Genomic DNA, 20,802 nt, shown 5'->3' on the forward strand with positions numbered 1-20,802 from the left:
TTCTGCCATGCATGAGTGGCCAGTCATATTTCAGCTCTGCTGCCTAGGTCAAGAGGGGGCCAGTGTAGGAGGCTTGGTGTGGAGAGAAGAAGGAAGGCAGCTACACGTCCAAGAGGGCAGGCCTATGACAGGGCTGGGAGGGGACAAGAGACATGATGGAACATGTCGTCCAAGATCCTGTCCCAGAGTGTTGCTGATGCTCTGCTGGAAGCACACGGCCCAGCTTCGAGGGCCCAGCATGGCCACACCGCAGGGTACCGGGGCTCCAGAGCCAGGGGCGAAGCAGGGGTACAGGCAGAGGGACTGGGAGGGAGCGAGAGAGCTGCTGCGGTGGAGGAAGGTTTCAAAACCCACTTCCACCCTCCCTTCCCTGCAGTGATGCTGTTTAACAAACAGGACATCCTGAAAACAGAGAAGGTGGCTGGTGAGCTTTGGGTGTGACTGTCCACCCGTTTCCCCGTGGTAGTCAGGATCAACTACCCCAGCCCACGGGAAAACCCCCACCTCCCCCTTTGACAGACCATCATGGGGAAAAGGCGTTGCCACTGCAAAACAAGGACAGAGGCTCATGGCCAGCTTCCAGGGGATCCCCCAGGCTCCTCTGAGCACGTCCATGTCTCGTGCTGAGATTAGATGGAAGATGCCAACAGGACCAGCAAAGGGTTCAGGCCCCCGAATGAAGGTGTGAGTTATCCTGCTGTGTTCAGTGACCTGACTAACCGAGGTGCTGCAGAGGACAAGGATCAGGAGTGGAGAGAGGCTGTCCTGTGCTATGTTGCAGAAATAAGGACAGTCACCTGTGTTTTTCCTTCCCTGCTAGGCCCTGAATAATTAACCTTTGAAGTTAAAGACTGAAGGGATCTATACCCCTCTGCAGTGAATGCCTCAACTAGACACTTTCACGTGATCCATTATTATCCTGTCATAAATTTATTCACCATTATTCAGTTAAAATTATCAAATTTCATTTATCATATTACCCCTGCACCAAAAATAGTCAAAACACAAAAGCATAAGACCCCCTGAGAATTAAAATGAACAAAAATCTATTCACCTCTTTTACTACCCCAACAATTCTAGGTCTACCCACAGTAATATTAATCATTCTATTTCCTGCCATGCTATTTCCAATTTCCAGTCATCTAATTAGTAATCGATTAACTTCCATTCAACAGTGATAATTCAACTTGCACTAAAACAAATAATAATTACCCATAACATTAAAGGATGAACCTGATCCCTTATACTGATATCCCTAATTATCTTCATTGCCTCAACCAACCTCCTCCAGCTTCTACCCCATTCATTTATATCAACTACCCAATTATCAATAAATCTAGGTATAGCAGTCCCCTGTGAGCAGGTGCAGTAATTACAGGCTTCCACTTTAAAACTAAAATCTCCTTAGCTCACTTTTTACCACAAGGCATACCTATGCCACTTATCCCTATACTAGTACTCATTGAAACCATTAGCCTATCCATTCACCGATAGCATTAGCTGTGCAATTAACAGCCAACATTACAGCCGACCACCTGCTAATACATTTAATCAGGGGACCCACACTGGTACTATCAACTATTAGTCTTCCCATAGCTTCAATTGCTTTCATTATTCTAATACTACTAACCATTCTCGAATTCACCATAGCCCTTATTCAGGCTTATGTCTTGACACTACTAGTAAGCCTTTATATGACAACACATAATGACCCACCAAACACATGCCTACCGTATAGTCAAACCCAGCCCCTGACGACTGACAGGAGCTCTCTCAGCTCTCCTAATAACATCTGGCCTGGCCATGTGATTTCACTTTAATTCTATCACTCTTTTAACCCTAGACCTACTAACCAACACACTAACGATACACCAATGATGACATGACATTATCCAAGAAAGTACATTTCAAGGCCACCATACAACAGTTGTCCAAAAAGGCCTCCAATAGGGAATAATTCTATTTATTATCTCAGAAATATTCTTCTTTGCTGGTTTCTTCTGGGCATTCTACCACTCTAGTCTAGCCCCGACTCCAGAATTAGGGGGACATTGACCTCCAACAGGCATTTTTCCCCTCAACTCCTTAGAAGTACCCCTCCTAAATACGTCTGTATTACTTGCATCAGGAGTTTCAATTACTTGGGCCCACCACAGCCTAACAGAAGGTAATCAAAAGCAAATAATTCAAGCATTCTCCATCACAGTCACCTTAGGTATTTCCTTCACCCTCCTACAAATCTCAGAATATTTTGAGACCGCTTTTACTCTTCACCCTCCTACAAATCTCAGAATATTTCGAGACCCCTTTTACTATCTCTTATGGAATCTACAGCTCAACATTCTCTTTTTTTTTTTTTTTTTTGAGAGGGAGTCTCACTGTGTTGCCCAGGCTGGAGTGCAGCGACGCAATCTCAGCTCACTGCAAGCTCCGCCTCCCGGGTTCACACCATTCTCCTGCCTCAGCCTCCCGAGTAGCTGGGACTACAGGTGCCCGCCACCACACCTTGCTAATCTTTTTGTATTTTTAGTAGAGACGGGGTTTCACTGTGTTAGCCAGTATGGTCTTGATCTCCTGACCTCGTGATCCACCTGCCTCAGCCTCCCAAAGTGCTGGGGTTACAGGTGTGAGCCACGGTGCCCGGCCCAACATTCTTTATAGTCACAGGTTTTCACGGACTTCATGTTATTATCAGATCAACATTTCTCACTATCTGCCTCCTCCGCCCATTAAAATTCCACTTTACATCCAACCACCACTTTGGCTTTGAAGCCGCTGCCTGATATTGACACTTCATAGATGTAGTAGGACTATTCTTATACGTCTCTTTCTACTGATGAGGATCCTACTCTTTTAGTATAAATAGTACCATTGACTTCCAAACAATTAGTTTCCATAGTATCCAAAAGAGAGTAATTAACCTGACACTAGCCCTAGTAACCGACACCTTAATGGCCCTATTACTACTAATAATTACATTTTGGCTCCCACAACTTAACATTTATATAGAAAAATATAGCCTCTATGAATGCGGATTTGACCCAATAACCTCCACCCACCTCCCCTTTTCCATAAAATTTTTCCTAGTAGCCATCACATTTCTCCTCTTTGACTTAGAAATCGCTCTACTACTGCTCCTACCATGAGCCCATCAAACAACCTGACACTAACAATCAGCACAGCCCTTCTACTAGTTATCATTTTAATCCTAGGCTTAACTTATGAATGAACCCAAAAAGGATTAGACTGAGTTGAATTGGTAAGTAGTTTAAGTCAAAATAAGTGATTTTGACGCATTAGATTATGATAGGCCATATTTGCCAAATGCCCTCTATTTATATCAATATTATATTGGCATATACCATAGCACTACTGGGAGTATTAGTCTATCGATCCCACCTAATATCATCCCTATTATGCCTAGAAGCCATCATACTATCAATATTTATCATAATTACTCTTACAACTTTAAATATACATTTCATTCTAGCATCCATAACACCCATCATCCTCCTAGTATTTGCTGCCTGTGAAGCCGCAGTTCTTGCCTTACTAGTTTCAATCTCTAACACATATGGTCTAGATTACGTACAAAACCTACACTTACTTCAATACTAAAAATTATTATTCCAACAATTATACTGTTACCAATAACATGATTCTCTAAAAATTCTATAATCTGAATCAACATGACTACCCACAGTCTACTCATCAGCCTCATTACCCTATTATTTGTTAATCAATTCAACGATAACTCACCCAACTTCTCATTAATCTTTTCTGACCCGCTGACATCCCCCCTTCTAATCTCAACAGCCTGACTACAAACTCCAGCAAGCCAATATCACCTGCCCAATGAATCACCCCCATGAAAAAAAGCTCTATATTTCTATATTGGTTTCCCTGCAGATTTTAATTATAGCATTCACAGCCACAGAACTAATTATATTTTATATCCTCTTTGAAGCTACACTAATTCCTACCCTGATTATCATCACCCGCTGAGGTAGGCAACCAGAGCGCCTCAATGCCAGCTCATATTTCCTATTTATACACTAGTAGGATCCGTCCCTCTACTTGTTACACTTGTCTACATTCAAAATACCTCAGTTTCACTAAATATTCTAGTAATGATATTTACCACCCAAGAACTATTAGCCTCCTGATCCAATAATCTTATATGACTAGCATGTATTATGGCTTTTATAGTGAAAATACCTCTATACGGACTTCACCTGTGACTCCCTAAAGCCCACGTAGAAGCCCCTATTGACGGCTCAATAGTACTTGCAGCAGTTCTCCTAAAGCTAGGCGGCTGTGGTGTAATATGGCTTACCCTTATCCTCAGCCCCCTAACAGAATATATAGCCTACCCATTCCTCATATTATCCCTATGAGGAATGGTTATGACAAGCTCTATTTGTCTACGACAAACCAATCTAAAATCACTTATTGCCTACTCCTGCATAAGCCATATAGCACTTGTTATCACAGCTATCCTCATCCAAAACCCTTGAAGCTTTACAGGTGCAGTCACCCTTATAATTGCCCACGGACTTACTTCATCCTTATTATTCTGCCTAGCAAATTTGAACTACGAGCAAATCCATACCCGAACCATATTACTTACCCGAGGCCTTCAAATACTGCTTCCACTAATAGCCTCTTGATGACTTCTAGCAAATCTCACTAACCTTGCCTTACCCCCTACCATTAATCTAGTAGGATAACTCTTTGTGACCATAGCTTCATTCTCCTGATCAAATATCACTATTATGTTTACAGGACTTAACATACTAATTACAGCCCTCTACTCCCTATATGTATTAATCATGATACAACAAGGGACACTCACATATTACATTGACAGTATTAAACCTTCCTTTACACGAGAAAATACATTAATATTTATACATGTCGCACCTATCCTTCTATTACCCTTAAAACCTAAAATTATTATGGGGTTTACATGCTGTAGCTATAGTATAACCGAAACCTTAGACTGTGGATCTAATAATAGAAGCCTGCAACTTATCTACCAAGAAATTACGCAAGGACAGCTAACTTGTGCCCCCATGCCTAACAACATGGCTTTCTCAACTTTTAAAGAATTAGAGTTGTCTATTGGTCTTAGGAACCAAAAACATTGGTGCAACTCCAAATAAAAGTAACAAATATGTATTTTTCCACTACTATAATAGCCCTAATCCCCTTAATCCTACCAACTATTATCACCTTAGTCAACCCCTGCAAAAAAGGTTCATACCCAAACTACGTAAAAATATCTATCGTATGCGCCTTCACCATTAGCCTCATCCCAACAATGTTTATATGTACAGACCAAGAAGTCATTATCTCAAACTGACATTCAATGACAATCCAAACTCTTAAACTCTCACTAAGCTTCAAACTACTTTTCCACAATATTTATCCCAGTAGCACTATTTGTTACCTGATCTGTTGTAGCATTATCAATATGATACATAAACTCAGACCCTAACAATCAATTTTTCAATTATTTACTTATTTTCCTCATCACAGTATTAATTCTGGTCACCACCAACAACCTCTTTCAACTCTTTTTTTTTTTTTTCCAGACGGAGTCTCGCTCTGTCGCCCAGGCTGGAGTGCAGTGGCGCGACACTCACTCACTGCAAGCTCCGCCTCCCGGGTTCCCGCCATTCTCCTGCCTCAGCCTCCCGAGTAGCTGGGACTACAGGCGCCCGCCACCACGCCAGGCTAATTTTTTTGTATTTTTAGTAGAGACGGGGTTTCACCGCGTTAGTCAGGATGGTCTCGATCTCCTGCATAAGCAGTGATCCGCCCGCCTCGGCCTCCCAAAGTGCTGGGATGACAGGCGTGAGCCACCGCGCCCGGCCCTTTCAACTCTTTATCGGATGAGAAGGCGTAGGAATCATGTCTTTCTAACTGGCTGATGATATGGCCGAGCAGATGCTAACAAAAGCAGGCCTCCAAGCAGTTCTGTACAACCGCATCGGCGATACTGGCTTTATTTTTAGCTATAGCATGATTTCTCTTATCCTCCAACACATGAGACTTTCAACAAGCGTTTACTCTAAACCCTATCCCCGACACCCTTCCATTACTTACTTAGCAGCAGCAGGAAAGTCAGCTAAATTCAACCTCCATCCCTGACTCCCATCCGCCATAGAAGGCCCAACCCCAGTCTCGGCCCTGCTCCACTCCAGCACTGTAGTTGTAGCAGTTTTCCTACTCATCCGTTTCTACTCTTTAATAGAAAATAACCTATTCATCCAAACCTTTACATTATGTCTAGGGGCTATTACCACCCTACTTACAGCAATCTGCCCTTCAGCGCCAGGGGAATGCCCGACAGCTACCTTCTCCCCCGTGACCGCCGGGCTCCGTATCCTGGGCGAGCCGCCCGGCTCCGGATAGCAGGAAACTGGGGAGGGCTCCGGCCTCGCCTCGTCAGCCCCGGAGCCTTCACCAATCCCGGGCCCGGAAAGACCACGCCCACTGCTGGCCCCGCCTAGCACCTGCGCAGGTGCAGTCTCCACCTCAAGCCAGCTGGGCCTTATGATAGTCAAAATTGGTATTAATCAGCCACACCTAGCATTCCTTCACATCTGCATCCACGCCTTTTAAAAAGCTATATTATTTATATGTTCAGGCTCCATTATCCATAACCTCAATGATGAACAAGATATCCGTAAAATAGGAGGACTATTCAAGACTTTACCCTTCACTTCCTCTTCCCTTATTATTGGCAGCCTTGCACCTACAGATATGCCTTTCCTCACAGGCTTTTACTCTAAAGACCTTATCATCGAAACCGCAAATACATCATACACCAACGCCTGAGCCCTTTCTATTACTCTTATTGCCACCTTTTTAACAGCTGTCTATAGTACCCGAATTATTTTCTTCACTCTAATAGGACAACCTCACTTCATAACTCTATTATTAATGAAAATAATCCCTTCCTAATTAACTCAATTAAGCACCTAACAATCGGCAGTATCTTTGCTGGATTCCTCATGACCAACAGTATTATTCCTGCTTCATCCCCCCCAAACAACTATACCACTTCACCTAAAGCTCACAGCCCTAGGTGTAACCACCTTAGGCCTCTTACTAGCAATAGAGCTCAAGCTCATAACTAATAATCTTAAACTAAAGTACCCATTACAGATATTTAACTTCTCCAATATGCTAGGTTTTTATTCAGCCACAATTCATCGTTCAACCCCCCACTCAAGCCTATTCAGGGGTTAGGCTAAAGGTTAAAGCACAGATTTTAATTCATTAAACTTCTATTTTCTTTATCCTCTCTTTCCCCCATGATAATATAGGACAGCAGTTCTCAAATGCTTTGGTCACAAGACCCCCTCACACTCTTGAAATGACCGAGGACCTCAACGGGCTTTTGTTTATGAGCTACGTCAACATTTAGCATCTTAGAAGTTAAAGCCAATAACTCTGAAAAACATTTATTCATCCATTTGAAGACTATACATCCATTACATGTTACCTTAAAAAAATTTTTAAACCTATATTTTCCAAAACAATATATTTCATCAGTAGGAGTGGCATCGTTTTACATTTTTGCAGATCCTTAAAGCCTGGCTTAACAGAAGGCTGCTGCATCCTCATAGCTGCTTCCGCCTTCGGTCTGTTGCAGTATGGTATCCTGACTGAAGAAAACCACGTGGGGTTGGGAAAGGAAGGACCTTGAGGACCCTCAGGGGTCCTTGGACCACACTGCCGAGGGCATGGTGTGGCAGCCGACTTTAACCCATACATTCTAGAACAGAGAGAGCCATGACCAAACCAGAGGGAGAGACACCTGCAGATATCCTGGGTTGCGGGCTGGAAGAAGTATTAACAGTTGATGAAGCAGCTTGGCATTGCCTCTCTTTTCTCCTAGGGAAGGGATAAACCACTGTCTTTTTGTGAGGCATGGTTGTGTTATGTCAGGTGGGAGCCTGATTTCTGAGGTGCGCGCATGGGAAGATGGGGGTGCATCAGATAGCCAAGGAAAGTGGTGTAGTGGACTTTTGTCATCTGAACACCCTTCCTTTTGGGAAAATCTTTTATCGAGTGAGTTCTGGCAGAGTCCTGCCCCCTCCTCCTCGAGACAAAGGAGCCAGATGCTCTCTCCTCGCATGTTCTGGAAGCTACAGAATGAACACATGCCTGAGGTTTGCCCAATCATATCCTCCCTCCTGGTACTTAACCTTAAGCTCATGGCAGACAGCTGAGGAAGTACTCGCAGCAGCAGGGGTGCAGCTGGAGGCTCCCTTTTTGTGGGTGTCATGCTGTCAGTGGTGGTGGCTGTGGCAAGTGCTGCATCTCCAGCAAATGGTCCCTGTGGTGCAGCCCTGCCTGGGTTTCCAGCCACACAACTTCCCGGATCCCTGTGAACTTGCTGGGCTTCATCCCATCTTTCCTGCCCGGCTGAATGACCTGTATCCCAACAGCTTCCTTCACTGAGTCAGGGCCCTGGCAGGGCCAGGTGGGGATGGCCTCCCTCACCGTCTGCTGCTTCTACCTACATGGCTGGGCTCCCTGCGCCCAGGCTTCGCCTTTCCAAAGCGCCTTGCATAGCCCTCCGGAGAAACTTTGGATTCCAGCACTTTCCTAAAACTGTCCCGTGTGGAGTACTCCGGCCTCACCACTGCTAACTGAGGGGCTGGAATGCAGGGTCTTTCTCATCTCACCTCAAATCCCCAACAGATCCCTTCTAATGGAAACAGCTTTTAAAAATTTCAGGATATTCGTAAAGCACACGGGAAACAAATCATGGATGATCTGCCACACATTTTGCGACTCCTTGAGAACCATTTTGTAATACTGAGGTCACGGAGTGACAGCCCCCTGTGTGGACTGTGCTTGTTCCTTGGCCATGCACTGCCTCACCCCACAGAGGTCAGGCATGGCCATGTGTTGTGGCCAACAGAAAGTGAGCAGGGGCTGTATTTGTGCTTGCAAGGTAGGGCTTGGCCTCCTGTGCTTCTGCCATGAGAAAGAACACGGCCCAAGGTAAGCTGCTGCTTCAACCAGGGACCCAGAATACGGGACATGTTGTGGAGCAGACGTGATCAGACCCCCAGCCTGGAGCATAACCTAGAAGCCAACTTGTAGACTACCCAAGAATGGGAATCTAGTTGTAGACCACTGAGATTTCTGATGCTGTTTTGCAGCAAAAGCTGACTGATACATCACAGGAGAAATAGTTACAGAATCTGACACATGCTGAATGCTGGATAATCAGTGTTTCATGGCAGTTAGGTAAATCCCAGGCACTGAAGTGCTCGCAGCCTCACAGATCGAACGACTTCCTACAACCTGTCACTTCTGTTTTTACCTAATGGTCCTGACAGCGGATGGCCTACCTGGTGAGAAAGCTTGTTTCCACACTAGATGCTGGCTTTCCAACACCAGATAGCTTGGGGGAAGAGGAAGTTAAGATGGGCTGGGGGGTTGTGGGGACCCCTCAGGTTTGGGAGTTTGCACCAGGTGCCAACAAGCTCCTGGCCTGAAACTGTAGCCAGGAGGGGCCAGTGGTCCCACTGCAGCCTCCAAACCTGCCTCCCAGTTCCTCCAGCACTGCCTGCCCATGCACCCCTAAATCTTACTGAAATGAAAATCCACGTCTTTGAGATATTCTTTAGGGGTGGAGGGGAGGCACTGGGCTCCTGAAAACAAAGATGAGCTTAAAGTTCTAGGTCACCCTGAGGCTAGCAGCATCCTTCCCTGCATTTTGCAAAAGCTGCACTGGGCTCTTTCCCTTTGTGGGTGCAGCTCACACTTCTCACCGTACAGGACACTTTGCATGGGCAGGGCTGTTTGCTCTCCACTGCATCCCCACTGCCTGGCACCATGCTTGGCTCGGGGTAGGTCTTCAAGAAATATTGAGAATATGAATGAATCAATGAATCCTTATTTATAAAAAGTTACACCCACTGCTGCTCAGGGCTGCCGGCTGGTGTAAACTGCCAGTGTGAGAGAGACAGAGCGAGCTCCCTCAGACAGCGAGCTCAATCCCAGCCAACTAAGCCCAGCTGTAGCTCCCTCAGGCATTCTGGCACTCAGGTTCCTAGAGCTGGCTTTTGTTGACAGCATGTGTACAGAGCATGTTATTTTAATGTTTTATATAGGGCAAAAATAGTGAATTTAGGGTTATGTGTTTTTCTCCAAACCCAACAAGTTTGCCTCATGGCCAGGGCAAAGTGTGTGGAGCCCATTTGAGATCATTTTTAGTAAGTTACTAATAAGAAAAGTGGACTCCATTCAGTCTTCTCTGCAGTAATAACACCTACACTCCTTTTTGTTTCGACCTCCTTTCGAAAGTATTTATTTGTTCTCAAACATTACTCTTGCAGGATCCAGCTTCTGCCCTGATTCCCTGGTGTACCACCAGCACCTAAAGAAACACTGTACCTGCCGGGTGCAGTGGTTCCCGCCTGTAATCCCAGCACTTTGGGAGGCCAAGGCGGGCAGATCACCTCAAGTCAGGAGTTTGAGACCAGCCTGACCAACATGGAGAAACCCTGTCTCTATTAAAAATACGAAATTAGCCAGGCGTGGTGGTGCATGCCTGTAATCCCAGCTACTCGCGAGGCTGAGGCAGAAGAATCGCTTGAACCGGGAGGCGGAGGCTGCGGCGAGCTGAGATCAAGATTGTGCCATTGCACTCCAGCCTGGGCAACAAGAGTGAAACTCTGTCTCAAAACAAAACAAAACAAACAAACAAAAAAACAAAAGAAAAGAAAAAAGAAACACTGTTCTTATCTACAAAGATAATTTGAACAGTTGTTTCCCTATTGCTGACAGATTAAAGTTTGGCCCTTAAAATGACACCTGCTTCTACTGACCACTTCCGGTTAAGGCCACTCTCTCCATCTTTCCAATGACAAGTAATGCTTCACACTACAGCCAACTAATAGTTTAAGATTCTTAGAAATGGACAAACCACTTGTTGCTTATTTCCACACAGTTACTACCTGTGTGGAAAAATTCAAGTTGCTAAATAACAGTGTCACTTTATGGCCTGGTACCACACTAGAGCCTGTCACAAGTTCCCAAGGGCAGTGGCCTCTTCCTCTACTAACGGGTACTACCAGAGACCTTGGTTACTAACACCTAAATATTAAGACCCATGGGATTTGCAGTCCCTACATTCATGCCTAGTACTTTGGTAAGATCCACACCAGGCACATACTGTTTTATGCAGTTTTCAAGGACATCTGCAATAGACACATATCTTCACACCTAAGCTTTAAAAAATACTTTAACGTAATAATGGTAATGCAGAGAACTAGAATTCAACATATTACACTGCTAAAATATTCATATAAATACTATATATGCATGGGTTCATTCCATTAGAAAAATTCACCTATCAGAATATTAAAGACCAGTATCAGCAAAGCCCAAGGAGAGAGTATTTTAACAGTAGGAACACTAAAAATATCAACTATGAGGTTTATAAACAAGTGGTGGGAAAGAGAACTTTTTACATTTGCTATTGTTATGACAGGCACAATCTGAAATACAATTTTAGATTAGCAGTGTATAAAAATACTTTTTAAACAATAGTTTTGATAGGTACAGTAGCATTTAAACAAACAGCTGTGTGGTTATTCCTTTTGAGGACCTACTAAAACAATTCGACTTACTGCCCCCAGCTACACCTGAAAGTGCGAACCTGGAAAGCAAGTCTCTTACCCAGGTACACATCACACACACCCACATACTGAAACCACCTCCATCTATGATGCATACTGATGAGGCGGTGATCTCAAACACGGCGTGAGACGAGTGTTTGAAGCCTGTTTCCATTTCCAGGTTTGGGATGAATGAACAAGAGGCGAAGGCCAAGTGGAGTCTGTGTGTGCCTGGGTCCTCTCTAGGAGTTTAATCTGGCATATCAATATTTAACTTGGGAGGGGGGGGAACGTATTTCCCAGGGCTCTGGGTTATAACTACTCTGGCCTTCTTTCCAAATATTGGAGCAATTTTCGGAGCTTCTGGAACTGATGTTTCTTCAGCATCTTCACTATCTTCGTGATGGAGATCATATGAAATGTTCCCATATTCTCTTAAAAATGGGAAAATTTCAAGCAGAAACTGACAGAAGTCTCTGCGAATGCCAAACCACCAATGATTGCCCCCCTTTCGCCTAAATGTTGTGGCCATTAAAGTTAGTAAGGAAAGCCAAAGGGGGACAAATATGGAGACGTAGGAGAATGTATTGTGGCCATCCAATCTGTGAACCAGCAGGACCTCAAAAGTGAGCAGAGGCACGACAATCGTTATCCAACTGATAGCCATGGTCACGTGTGTTCTCCGCTGCTCGGCAACCACATCCAGGGACCGCAGGAACAGGAGGGACCAGACGATGTAATAGAGGACGACCAGGCAAAGGAACGACATGAGGATCCACAGGGGCACAAACACCACCAGCCACGGCCAGTGAATAATCCTGTCCAGCTTTAGGGCGATGAAGATGAACTGCAGGATGTTGACCGAGCACAGGATCTCCAGCTCCAGCGACCTATCGTGTCGAAAGCCCCAGACGCAGGCAGCCACGGACACGGGGGACACGAAGAAGAGAGGCATGAAGACCAGCAGCCAGAAGTGGGTGCCCCTCTCCACCCTGTCGCAGACCAGGACTTCGAACATGAGCAGCAGCAGGTGGATGCCCACAGCGATCAGCATGGCTTTGAACTCCACACAGGCCTCTCCCTCGGTGCGGTAGCGAGGGTTGCGGGCCCAAACGCCCGCGCCCACGGAGGCGCCTGCGACGACTAGAAGCTTCCACAGCCATATGGGGGCAAAGACGGCCCAGTAGCTCCATTGGATGATGCCGTCCAGGCGGAGGGGCAGCAGCACCGAGAAGAGCAGCAGGCAGGTGTAGATGAGAAACTTACTGGGGTTGAAGTCCTGGAACAGGCCCCTGGGGTTCATGGCGGAGGCCGCCGCTTGCCTGCCCGGGCCTGCTCCCTCGCGACGCTCGGCGCTCGCGTCTCCGCGGCTTCTCCGGCCGCCGCCTCCCGGGCCCCGCCCAAGCCGGCTCCGCGTGGACGAATGCCGGGACGACCAGGAGGAGGTTCGGAGCGGCGAAGCGGAGAGGCCGGAACACGTGCACGCGCGGTCACGTGGCCCGGCCGGAAGCGCGCTGGGGTGTGGCGCGCGCGGGCACGGGCGGCGCGGCGGTTACAAACTGGGCGCTGCCTCGGTCCCGCCGCCGCCCGCGTTCACTCCGTACCCATCAAGAAGGCACCTAATGCGTGTGGGGCCCGAAGGGGCCTGGCGCGCTGCTGACTCCCCAAGCGGCCCGCGACCTTGGGCGGACGCTTCCAGGCGACTCCGGGAACATGGAGGCGGGAGTGAGCTCACATCCTCCCTGCCGGCCGGGGCGGGCCCTGCGGGGGCGGGGCCGGGTGGAGAGGGCGGGGCCTGGGCGTTGGCACCCTACCCATCTCTGCCGGGATCCTCGCCTCCCCGCGCTCGCCGCGGCTTCCCGGGAACCCGCCCGGGGCTAGAGCGCCCGCGGTGAGGCTCCAGCACCCCGCGCGCGCGAGCAGAGGCGGTGGCCGGGCTAGTGCGGGAGTTTGCGAGCGAGGGAGCGGGTGCCGGTAACTGAACGGATGCAAGGCGATGTGCATGAGCGCAGACCTGTGGGGGCCGGCGGCGGGTGTATCCCTGGCTCAAAGGAAAAGGCCCGCGCGTAGACTCAGGGCACGAGGTGGGGGGGCCTTACCTGGGATGAAGACTCGCGGGGCAGAACTCCGCCTGGTGGAGCAACGGACGTTTCTCAGGCTGCCTGCGAAGTGGCTGTGCAGAGATCCCAGGCGGCAGCGGCGCTCTTGTACCTGTCCCTCTCACTCCAGAGTGGAAGGTGCTGGTGAGGGTGTTAGACCCCACTCGGGAGGAAACTGGATCCAGACCAGGGTTGGGGGTTGCTTTCTGCCCCAGGTCACCCGGCAGGTTAACAGAGAATCGCGTCGCAGATACAGGGCTCCTACCTTCAAGTGTCTAGTCCTCATTTTGACTTATTTGGCCCTGTCTCTGTGTTATTCTCGCAAAACCATGTTTTCCTTTTCCTTTGGAAAAGGGTACTGGACCAGAGGTCAAGAGATTTGGGTTCTTGTCCAGGCCGTGCCACCCATCAGCTGAGAAACCTAGGCAAATTCACCTCTTTCTCTCTGGGCCTCAGTTTCCTGGTCTATGAAGTTGGGGGACAGACCTGGGTGGTGTCTAAGGGCAAGGCTGCAGCGGGTCTGTGATTTGGAGCACCCCTTTCGCCCTCTGGCCATCTGGGCAGACCCTGGAGGATTTCTGTCTTCCCCGCTGTCCCACTGCTCAGCAGAGCCCTGGCTGCCCTCACCAGTCTCTCCTAGTCCTCTTTTCCTGAAGTGGCTGTGGGATGTTGTCACGCAGGTCCTGGGCTCTGAAGTGGGACAGGCCATCAGAGGAACGCATGGCCTGTCAGGGCCTCCGCGGAGTGGCCCTCCCGCACCCTCACAGCACTGCCCCAGGCGGGCATGAGCAGGGTGTCCAGGTGTCGGGCGGACAGTCCCAGCCCCCGAGGCGCTCTCCACAACTTCACTTCAGCCACAGGCAATCTGTGGCCCTGGGGAAGGGAGTCCAGCTGAGTGAGCTTCACCAGTCCTCAGGCTCAGCCCTTAAGGCTGACTTCATAGATGTGTCTTCAGGGCCTCTTGTTTCTGGAGAGCCTTATCTCCCTCCATTCCTCCCCTAAACAGAGTTGCTCCAATCTGTCTGTTTTACACATTGGTCTTTTTTGTACTCTTTTCTCCCAAGAAGGATTTGTCAACTAAAAATTTGTAAAAGTGGAAAACCCCCTCACCAATCCAACCTCTTCATCTGTGAAATGGGCTTGGAAAAGCACACAGGATTGTTTTGAGGATTAGATGAATCAATACATGGAACTTTGCACTTTGCATTTAGAGACCTGCAAGTAATTGATTTGACCCCACTAGGAAAGCAGAGCCCGTGGAGGGGAGGCGCTGCCAGGAGCGCCCCCACCCTCCGGGAGCTGGTGGCAGAGTCAGGTCCTCTGGACCCTGCGAGAACAGTCAGAAGTCCTTCCCAATCACCTATGTAGTCAGATGAACTCAGGGCCTCTGCTGCCATCTTTGTGGCAAAGACAGAGCTCGGAGCTTATTTTCCCACCTTGAGCTCCTCATTCAGAACAAGTGCACCCTCTCCATCCAAGAAGCGGGTATCAAGGTGTCCTGTCACAGTGCAACAGTGGCTCTGCTGCACAGCTCCTGAGGGAGGGCAGACCCAGCTTCCAGGCTTGTGCCACAGGGTGAGGGATGCTGTCTGCCATCTGTCCCCAGCTGGCTTCCTTTGGCCTGCAGGCCTTGACCCCTCCCCCATCATGCCCTGGGCATCAGACACCCCTCCTTCACTGTTTTCCCTGATGCGGCCAGTCTCTCAGACACCCGCCTTTGTCTTTTATTTACCTGTAAAGCTAACATGGATTGTTTGCTATGTGCCAGGTGCTGGCGGCATAGCAGTCCCCAAGGCTGGTACACAAACCAAAGTGTGAATTCATTCACTTACAGGTGGTGTGTGTGGATGTGGTGTTCCAGGCCACCGGCACGGGCTGCTATCCCCCAGTCAGGGTGTGCGGGGGCACATGGCCCCAGAGGGCAGGGGCTGACATGGTTTGAAGGTCACTGTCCTAACGGTTGGGGAAGTCCTGGGATGTGTCCTAACCCCAGCCTCTTTCCCCTGCTTGGCATCCTCAGTCCCAACTTTCCTGTCTGAACTGTAAGGCTCTCCTGAGCTGATCCCGGCACACCTGGTGGCCAGGTCCCTTATGGTCCATGTACCAGCCCAGCCAGTCTGCTGCTTCCCCCTGAGTGTGGCCCACCCCGACATGGCCTCTGTCTCCTTCCTGGGCACCAAGACCCACGACAGGGCTTCAAGCCCTGAGAAACCTCGACCCCTGGTGGACCAGTGACCCTTCTCTCACCTCCCACAGCATCTGGGTGCCAGAGGTGGGGTAGGGGCAGGCGGGGACCTTGTTCCTATCCTGGGACTCATTTCCCTGGGTGTTGTCTGTTTGGCCTTCTGTCCTTTCATGAGATTTGAGCTCCAGACACCCAGCTAGCACTTATATCGTAGCAAATGTTTGAGAGACGTTGGCTGAATGAGTGAAGGAATGCATTTAACACTACTCATGACTGCGATGCTCCTGTCCCAGAGGAGATGCTCCTGTGGCCAGCGTGGCACCGATAGTGGGACCTGTGTCCTTTCATCACCAGCATCCTAGGCCCTGTTCCCTCCACTCTCCAGCCCAGGTGATCTTTCTTCCTCGGTAACCAATTGCCACAGGTGTATCAGTTTAAAGCAGCAGTCAGTTACTGTCCGCCATGAACTGAGAGTCAGAAGTCAGCATCATATGCCCAGCCAGTGCTCCGCTTGAGTCACAAGGCCAAGATCTCGGTGTGGGCACTCCGGCAGTGAACCTGCATTCGAGTTCTGTGTTGGCAGGATGCAGTTCCATCGAGTTGTGGGACTGAGGTTCCTGTTGCCTTGCCAGCCATGGGCCTCGGGGTTCATTCTCAGCCCCTTGTATTTCCTGACTTGTGGCCTCCTTCAAAGCCACCCGTGGTGGGTTAAGTCCTTATGTCTGGAGTCTCTCTTCTGCCTTCCTTGTTTTGAGGGCTTCTGTGATTACTTTGGGTTACTCAGCTAACCCAGGATCACCTCTCTATTTTAAGGTCAGCCTGTTAGTAACCCCAATTCCATCTGCAAATTCCTTAGAATTCTGCTCCGTACCAGCGGTCAGGCCCAGCTCGGCTCTTCCTGCCCCACAACAGCCACTGCTTAGCAAGAGCTGAGCTGGGTTTCCAGGGAGAGCGAACTCTTGCCTGGCACCCTCCACAGCAGACCAGGGTGACAGTGACACCTGGGCATGGTCCCAGTCAGAGCAGCTGGAAGCTGGTGGGAGTTAAGTTTTCCCTGTAGCCCTCTGGCTGCAGGACATGGGATGCCTTTGCTGAATGTCCTCTGAGGGGCTGGCTTGGGACAGGGGGATGACCTGCGCAGAAAGCCCAGGGAAAATTTCCCTTTTGGCCGGATTTGTGGATTTGCTCATATCAACTTCTTCACAAGGAATCCACAGCCCACCTGGCCCTTGTGCCAGCCTCATTGCCCACCATTACCCCTTGGCCCCAGTCTCTAAATGAAGAGCACGCTGTCACCTCTACAATAGCCTCCTCCCATCTCCCTGCCCCCCCCCACTGCCAGCACACACATACCAGTGCAGTAGTATGCCCGTGGGCATGGACTTGAGTCACCCCAGCCCAGGTGCGAGTCCAGACTCTGTGAACTTGACAGATGACTTAGTTTCCAGCCCCGATCTGTGAAATGGAGATAACCTCCCAAAACTGTGACAGCAAAAGGAAACAATGTAGGAAACCTACAATGCCTCCATTATTTCCCCCCAGTGGTGGCTGTTAACTGCCTCTCAGCAGCAGATTGTGTGTCCCCTCCCTCGGGTCCCACAGGGTATCATCCTGTTTGCTCATCTGACTCTCTGGACTCCCTGTGACTTTCTCAAGGACAGGGACCCATCTCTTATCTCTGTTAGCAGTTTCCAGCACAGGCTCGTACATGGTAAGTGAATCTGGAAAGTGCATGCGGGCAGGAAGACAGGAGCTGATGTGACATCTCCTGTGGGCTGAGCAGCGAGCACGGGAACCTTCCTGAGACAAAGCAGCTTGTCTGAAGCTCACAGGTCCCAGTGTTACAGGGAGGTGCTGACAGTTCCCAGTGTTACAGGGAGGTGCTGCTGGGCTCGCATGAGGACCTCCTGGAGCGTGACAGCCCCTCACGCTCGCACGTGGCTTAATATTTCAAAGCACGATATCATCTGGAGCTGACTTCAGAGACAGAGGTGGCAAAGCACTAACCTCATTTGACAGATGGGGAAACAGGCCCAAGACCCACAACCATGGTTCTCTGCTAACTCTGCAGCTGCATACTTTCCACAGGGCCCTGCTGTTGGCCAGGTGGGCGTCCCTGCCCTGTTTATCAGCTCAGTCCAGTGAGAATGGCTCCCTGAAGAGCCAGACTCTGGCTGGGACCCCTTGAGACTTAGGCTCCTGTTTTAGCAGCTTTTTCCTTCCTTAACCCGTGTATTCATTTAACAAATACATATCAAGCATCTTCCCTGTGCCCCAGGTCCTTGTCCTGGATACACATGTAGCAATGAACTCTTCAGGTGGCTTCTCCTGTGCTGGTCCCTTCTCAGTTCAGGTGTCACCTCCTTCAGGGTCACCTCCTTGACTACCCCACCCAAAGTCATTCTCTCACTTGCGTCTCCTTATTTCTCCTTTTTTTATATGGTCACTTTAGAAAAAGCTGGAAAACGCAGACTCGTTTAAAGAAAGAAAATGCTGTAGTCTTAGCACCTACAGAAGATCACTGTGAACATTTTACTGTGTTTTTCCTTCCAGTCGGTCTACTCGGCAAAGAGATGTCATCCTCCACATACCCATTTGATTCTGCTTTTTTACTTATGGTTAATTCTAAAACTCACTTCACATTTTAACGTCTCTGGATCTTGCACTGTACAGTGGCTGATGTTTTACAGGCACTGTCAGCTGGTGTTAACATTCAGTTCTTTCTAGAGGTGGTTGTATTTGTTTCTGCCAGTCACCTGGGGGCACTGCCAACTTGACATAACCTTAAACTTAAATTCAGTTACAGCATTTGCTTGAGGTGTTTCCAGACCATATGTTTGTGCAAATTCAGACTCAAACCAGCATGAGTACTGGCTTGTGCACGTCCTCAGGGGCAGTTTTGTTCCCTCCCTGCATCCGGGTCCATGGCTGGGACACTGGCTCTTTCTGCCTGACGAGGCTGTTTATCATTCTCCTCCCACCAAAGAAATAGCCCTTTAGGATCCCAGCTTTACTTAGACGTCCCTTATTAAATAACCATTCTGGGTATTTTTTTCTTCCTTAAAGGTACGTGAAATGGTGGTGTGTTCTCTAATCAACAGTGTCTTAAATGTGATGAAATGCCATAGATAGAAACACTTCTCAGATTTCCATAAACATGTGAGCATGTTTTCAGTGGCCCCACAATATTACATTAAGGGTAGTGCAATACTTTACTCACCCATTGCATTGTGTATTTGAGTTAGTTTCATTCTTTTATGAAATGAAGGGACTGCGCTCTATCTTACGGCTTCTTTGCATCCAGATTGTTTTTAAGGGTAGATTCTCAGACACAGACATGCCATGGTGAAGGAATGAATACAGTAGTCCCCCCTTATCTGAGGTTTATCTTTCCAAGTTTTCATTTACCTGCAGTACACCGAGGTTTGAAAATATTAAATGGAAAATTCCAGAAATAACTCCTAAATTTTAAATGACACTCTGTTCTGAGTAGCGTGACAAAATCTTGCTCCATCTAGCCTGGGACGTGACCCCTCTCTTTGTCCAGCATCTTCACACCGGGCGTGCTCCCTGGGCGATCACATCAGCTGCCGCCAGATCACTGTCCCTCTGTTCAGGTCACCCGTGTTTGACTTAATAATGGCTCCAAAGCACAAGAGTACTGTGCCTAATTTACAAATTAAACTCTATCGTAGGTGTGTATGCACAGGGAAATACATAGTGTGTATAGGGGTTTGGTACTATCTGCGGCTTTGGGCATCTACTGGGGGTCTTGGAACATATCCCCTATGGATAAGGGGGGACAACTTCATTCTAAAGACCCTTGACACATAAAGCCTAGTGTGTCTTTTTTTTTCCTTTTTTTTTTTTTTTTTTTTTTTAGATGGAGTCACTCTGTCACCCAGGCTGGAGTGCAGTGGACTGATCTCGGCTCACTGCAATCTCCACTTCCTGAGTTCAAGCAATTCTCCTGCCTCAGCCTCCTGAGTAGCTGGGTGGTACAGGTGCACCACTATGCCTAGCTAATTTTTGTATTTTTAGTAGAGATGGGGTTTCACCATCTTAGCCAGGTTGGTCTCAAACTCCTGACCTCAGGTCATCTGTCAGCCTTGGCCTCCCAAAGTGCTGGGATTCCAGGCGTGAGCCACTGTGCCCAGCCTTTTATTCTGTTTTCTGTGTTATCTTTGAGGAAATGGAGTCAGTGCCACCCCGAGTTGTGGTGTGAGTCTGCTTGTATTGATAGCAGCTGGCAGAGCTTATTTAGAAAACTCCACAGGGTTGAAGAATTAAAGAGGCTGAAATCAAAGGTAGACTCAAGTATAGGGCTGTATAATATTAAAAGTCAACTAAAAACAGGGCTAGTGTTGACATGTTTGTGAGTGTGCAAATGCAGAAGTCAGGGTTTTCCGCGTCAGATCACAGCCTTCAAATGTTATGAACAACACAGTGAGCATTGGGATCATTTAATTTGAGGCATTCACATATAATTAAATATAATTAATTCAAACTAATATTTTGTGGAGGTGAGTGGGAAGCTTCCTGAATTATGGAATTAGGCAATCCAGGTATCAATTGTACTTAAGTTGACATTACTAAAATATTTTCAAAAGTTTTCATGTACAATTTAAGTTTTTTCCCCAGTCTTATTTGCACTCTTAATTTACTCAGCAAAACATTTTTTTCTTGGACAAAGGTCATTCCCAGCCCGGCTCTCACCTGGCTTTGTCATAAATTCCAAGAGAGTGTGATGTGGACAAATGATGTGCTTCCTGCGTCAGAAACAGACGTTTGTAAAATTGTAATCCTAATTTCACTCTGGGTTGCCTTTCATTCTTCCATTGCCAGGTGCAAAGCAGCAAAAAAG

At 48.1% G+C, this 20,802-nt stretch overlaps 1 protein-coding gene and 6 pseudogenes across 1 annotated transcript, besides 4 other annotated features; 6 read left to right on the forward strand and 1 right to left on the reverse strand.

Annotated features, from left to right (window-relative positions):
• On the forward strand, nucleotides 1,035–1,696 carry MTATP6P26 (MT-ATP6 pseudogene 26; annotated as a pseudogene).
• On the forward strand, nucleotides 1,708–2,843 carry MTCO3P43 (MT-CO3 pseudogene 43; annotated as a pseudogene).
• On the forward strand, nucleotides 2,928–3,256 carry MTND3P10 (MT-ND3 pseudogene 10; annotated as a pseudogene).
• Nucleotides 3,325–3,618, forward strand: MTND4LP14 (MT-ND4L pseudogene 14; annotated as a pseudogene).
• On the forward strand, nucleotides 3,612–4,970 carry MTND4P26 (MT-ND4 pseudogene 26; annotated as a pseudogene).
• MTND5P28 (MT-ND5 pseudogene 28) lies at nucleotides 5,319–7,193 on the forward strand (annotated as a pseudogene).
• TMEM185B (transmembrane protein 185B) lies at nucleotides 7,460–13,381 on the reverse strand. Its single transcript, NM_024121.3, has one exon. It carries the CDS (start codon nucleotides 12,955–12,957, stop codon nucleotides 11,905–11,907), a length of 1,053 nt encoding a protein of 350 aa, NP_077026.2. The 5' UTR covers nucleotides 12,958–13,381; the 3' UTR covers nucleotides 7,460–11,904.
• Nucleotides 12,980–13,179: a silencer, noted in NCBI's record as "silent region_11916". NCBI's record gives its function as "represses an Ori minimal core promoter by ATAC-STARR-seq in GM12878 lymphoblastoid cells {active_cell/tissue: GM12878}" and the evidence as "EXISTENCE:reporter gene assay evidence [ECO:0000049][PMID:35858748]".
• Nucleotides 13,330–13,699: a silencer, noted in NCBI's record as "silent region_11917". NCBI's record gives its function as "represses an Ori minimal core promoter by ATAC-STARR-seq in GM12878 lymphoblastoid cells {active_cell/tissue: GM12878}" and the evidence as "EXISTENCE:reporter gene assay evidence [ECO:0000049][PMID:35858748]".
• Nucleotides 13,419–13,579: a silencer, noted in NCBI's record as "fragment chr2:120981014-120981174 (GRCh37/hg19 assembly coordinates)". NCBI's record gives its function as "represses an EF-1alpha promoter that drives an FKBP-Casp9 reporter gene in an ReSE screen in K562 erythroleukemia cells {active_cell/tissue: K562}" and the evidence as "EXISTENCE:reporter gene assay evidence [ECO:0000049][PMID:32094911]".
• Nucleotides 13,674–14,337: an enhancer, noted in NCBI's record as "H3K4me1 hESC enhancer chr2:120981269-120981932 (GRCh37/hg19 assembly coordinates)". NCBI's record gives its function as "activates a minimal SCP1, AML or CMV promoter by ChIP-STARR-seq in primed H9 embryonic stem cells {active_cell/tissue: H9 hESC(primed)}" and the evidence as "EXISTENCE:reporter gene assay evidence [ECO:0000049][PMID:30033119]".

Source organism: Homo sapiens, chromosome 2 (assembly GCF_000001405.40).
Source record: "Homo sapiens chromosome 2, GRCh38.p14 Primary Assembly".
Classification (NCBI taxonomy): Eukaryota; Metazoa; Chordata; class Mammalia; order Primates; family Hominidae; genus Homo; species Homo sapiens.

What these genes read in the sequence shown, in the direction of transcription:
- TMEM185B (NM_024121.3), bottom strand. Translation starts at nt 12,957, where the DNA reads ATGAACCCCAGGGGCCTGTTCCAGGACTTCAACCCCAGTAAGTTTCTC.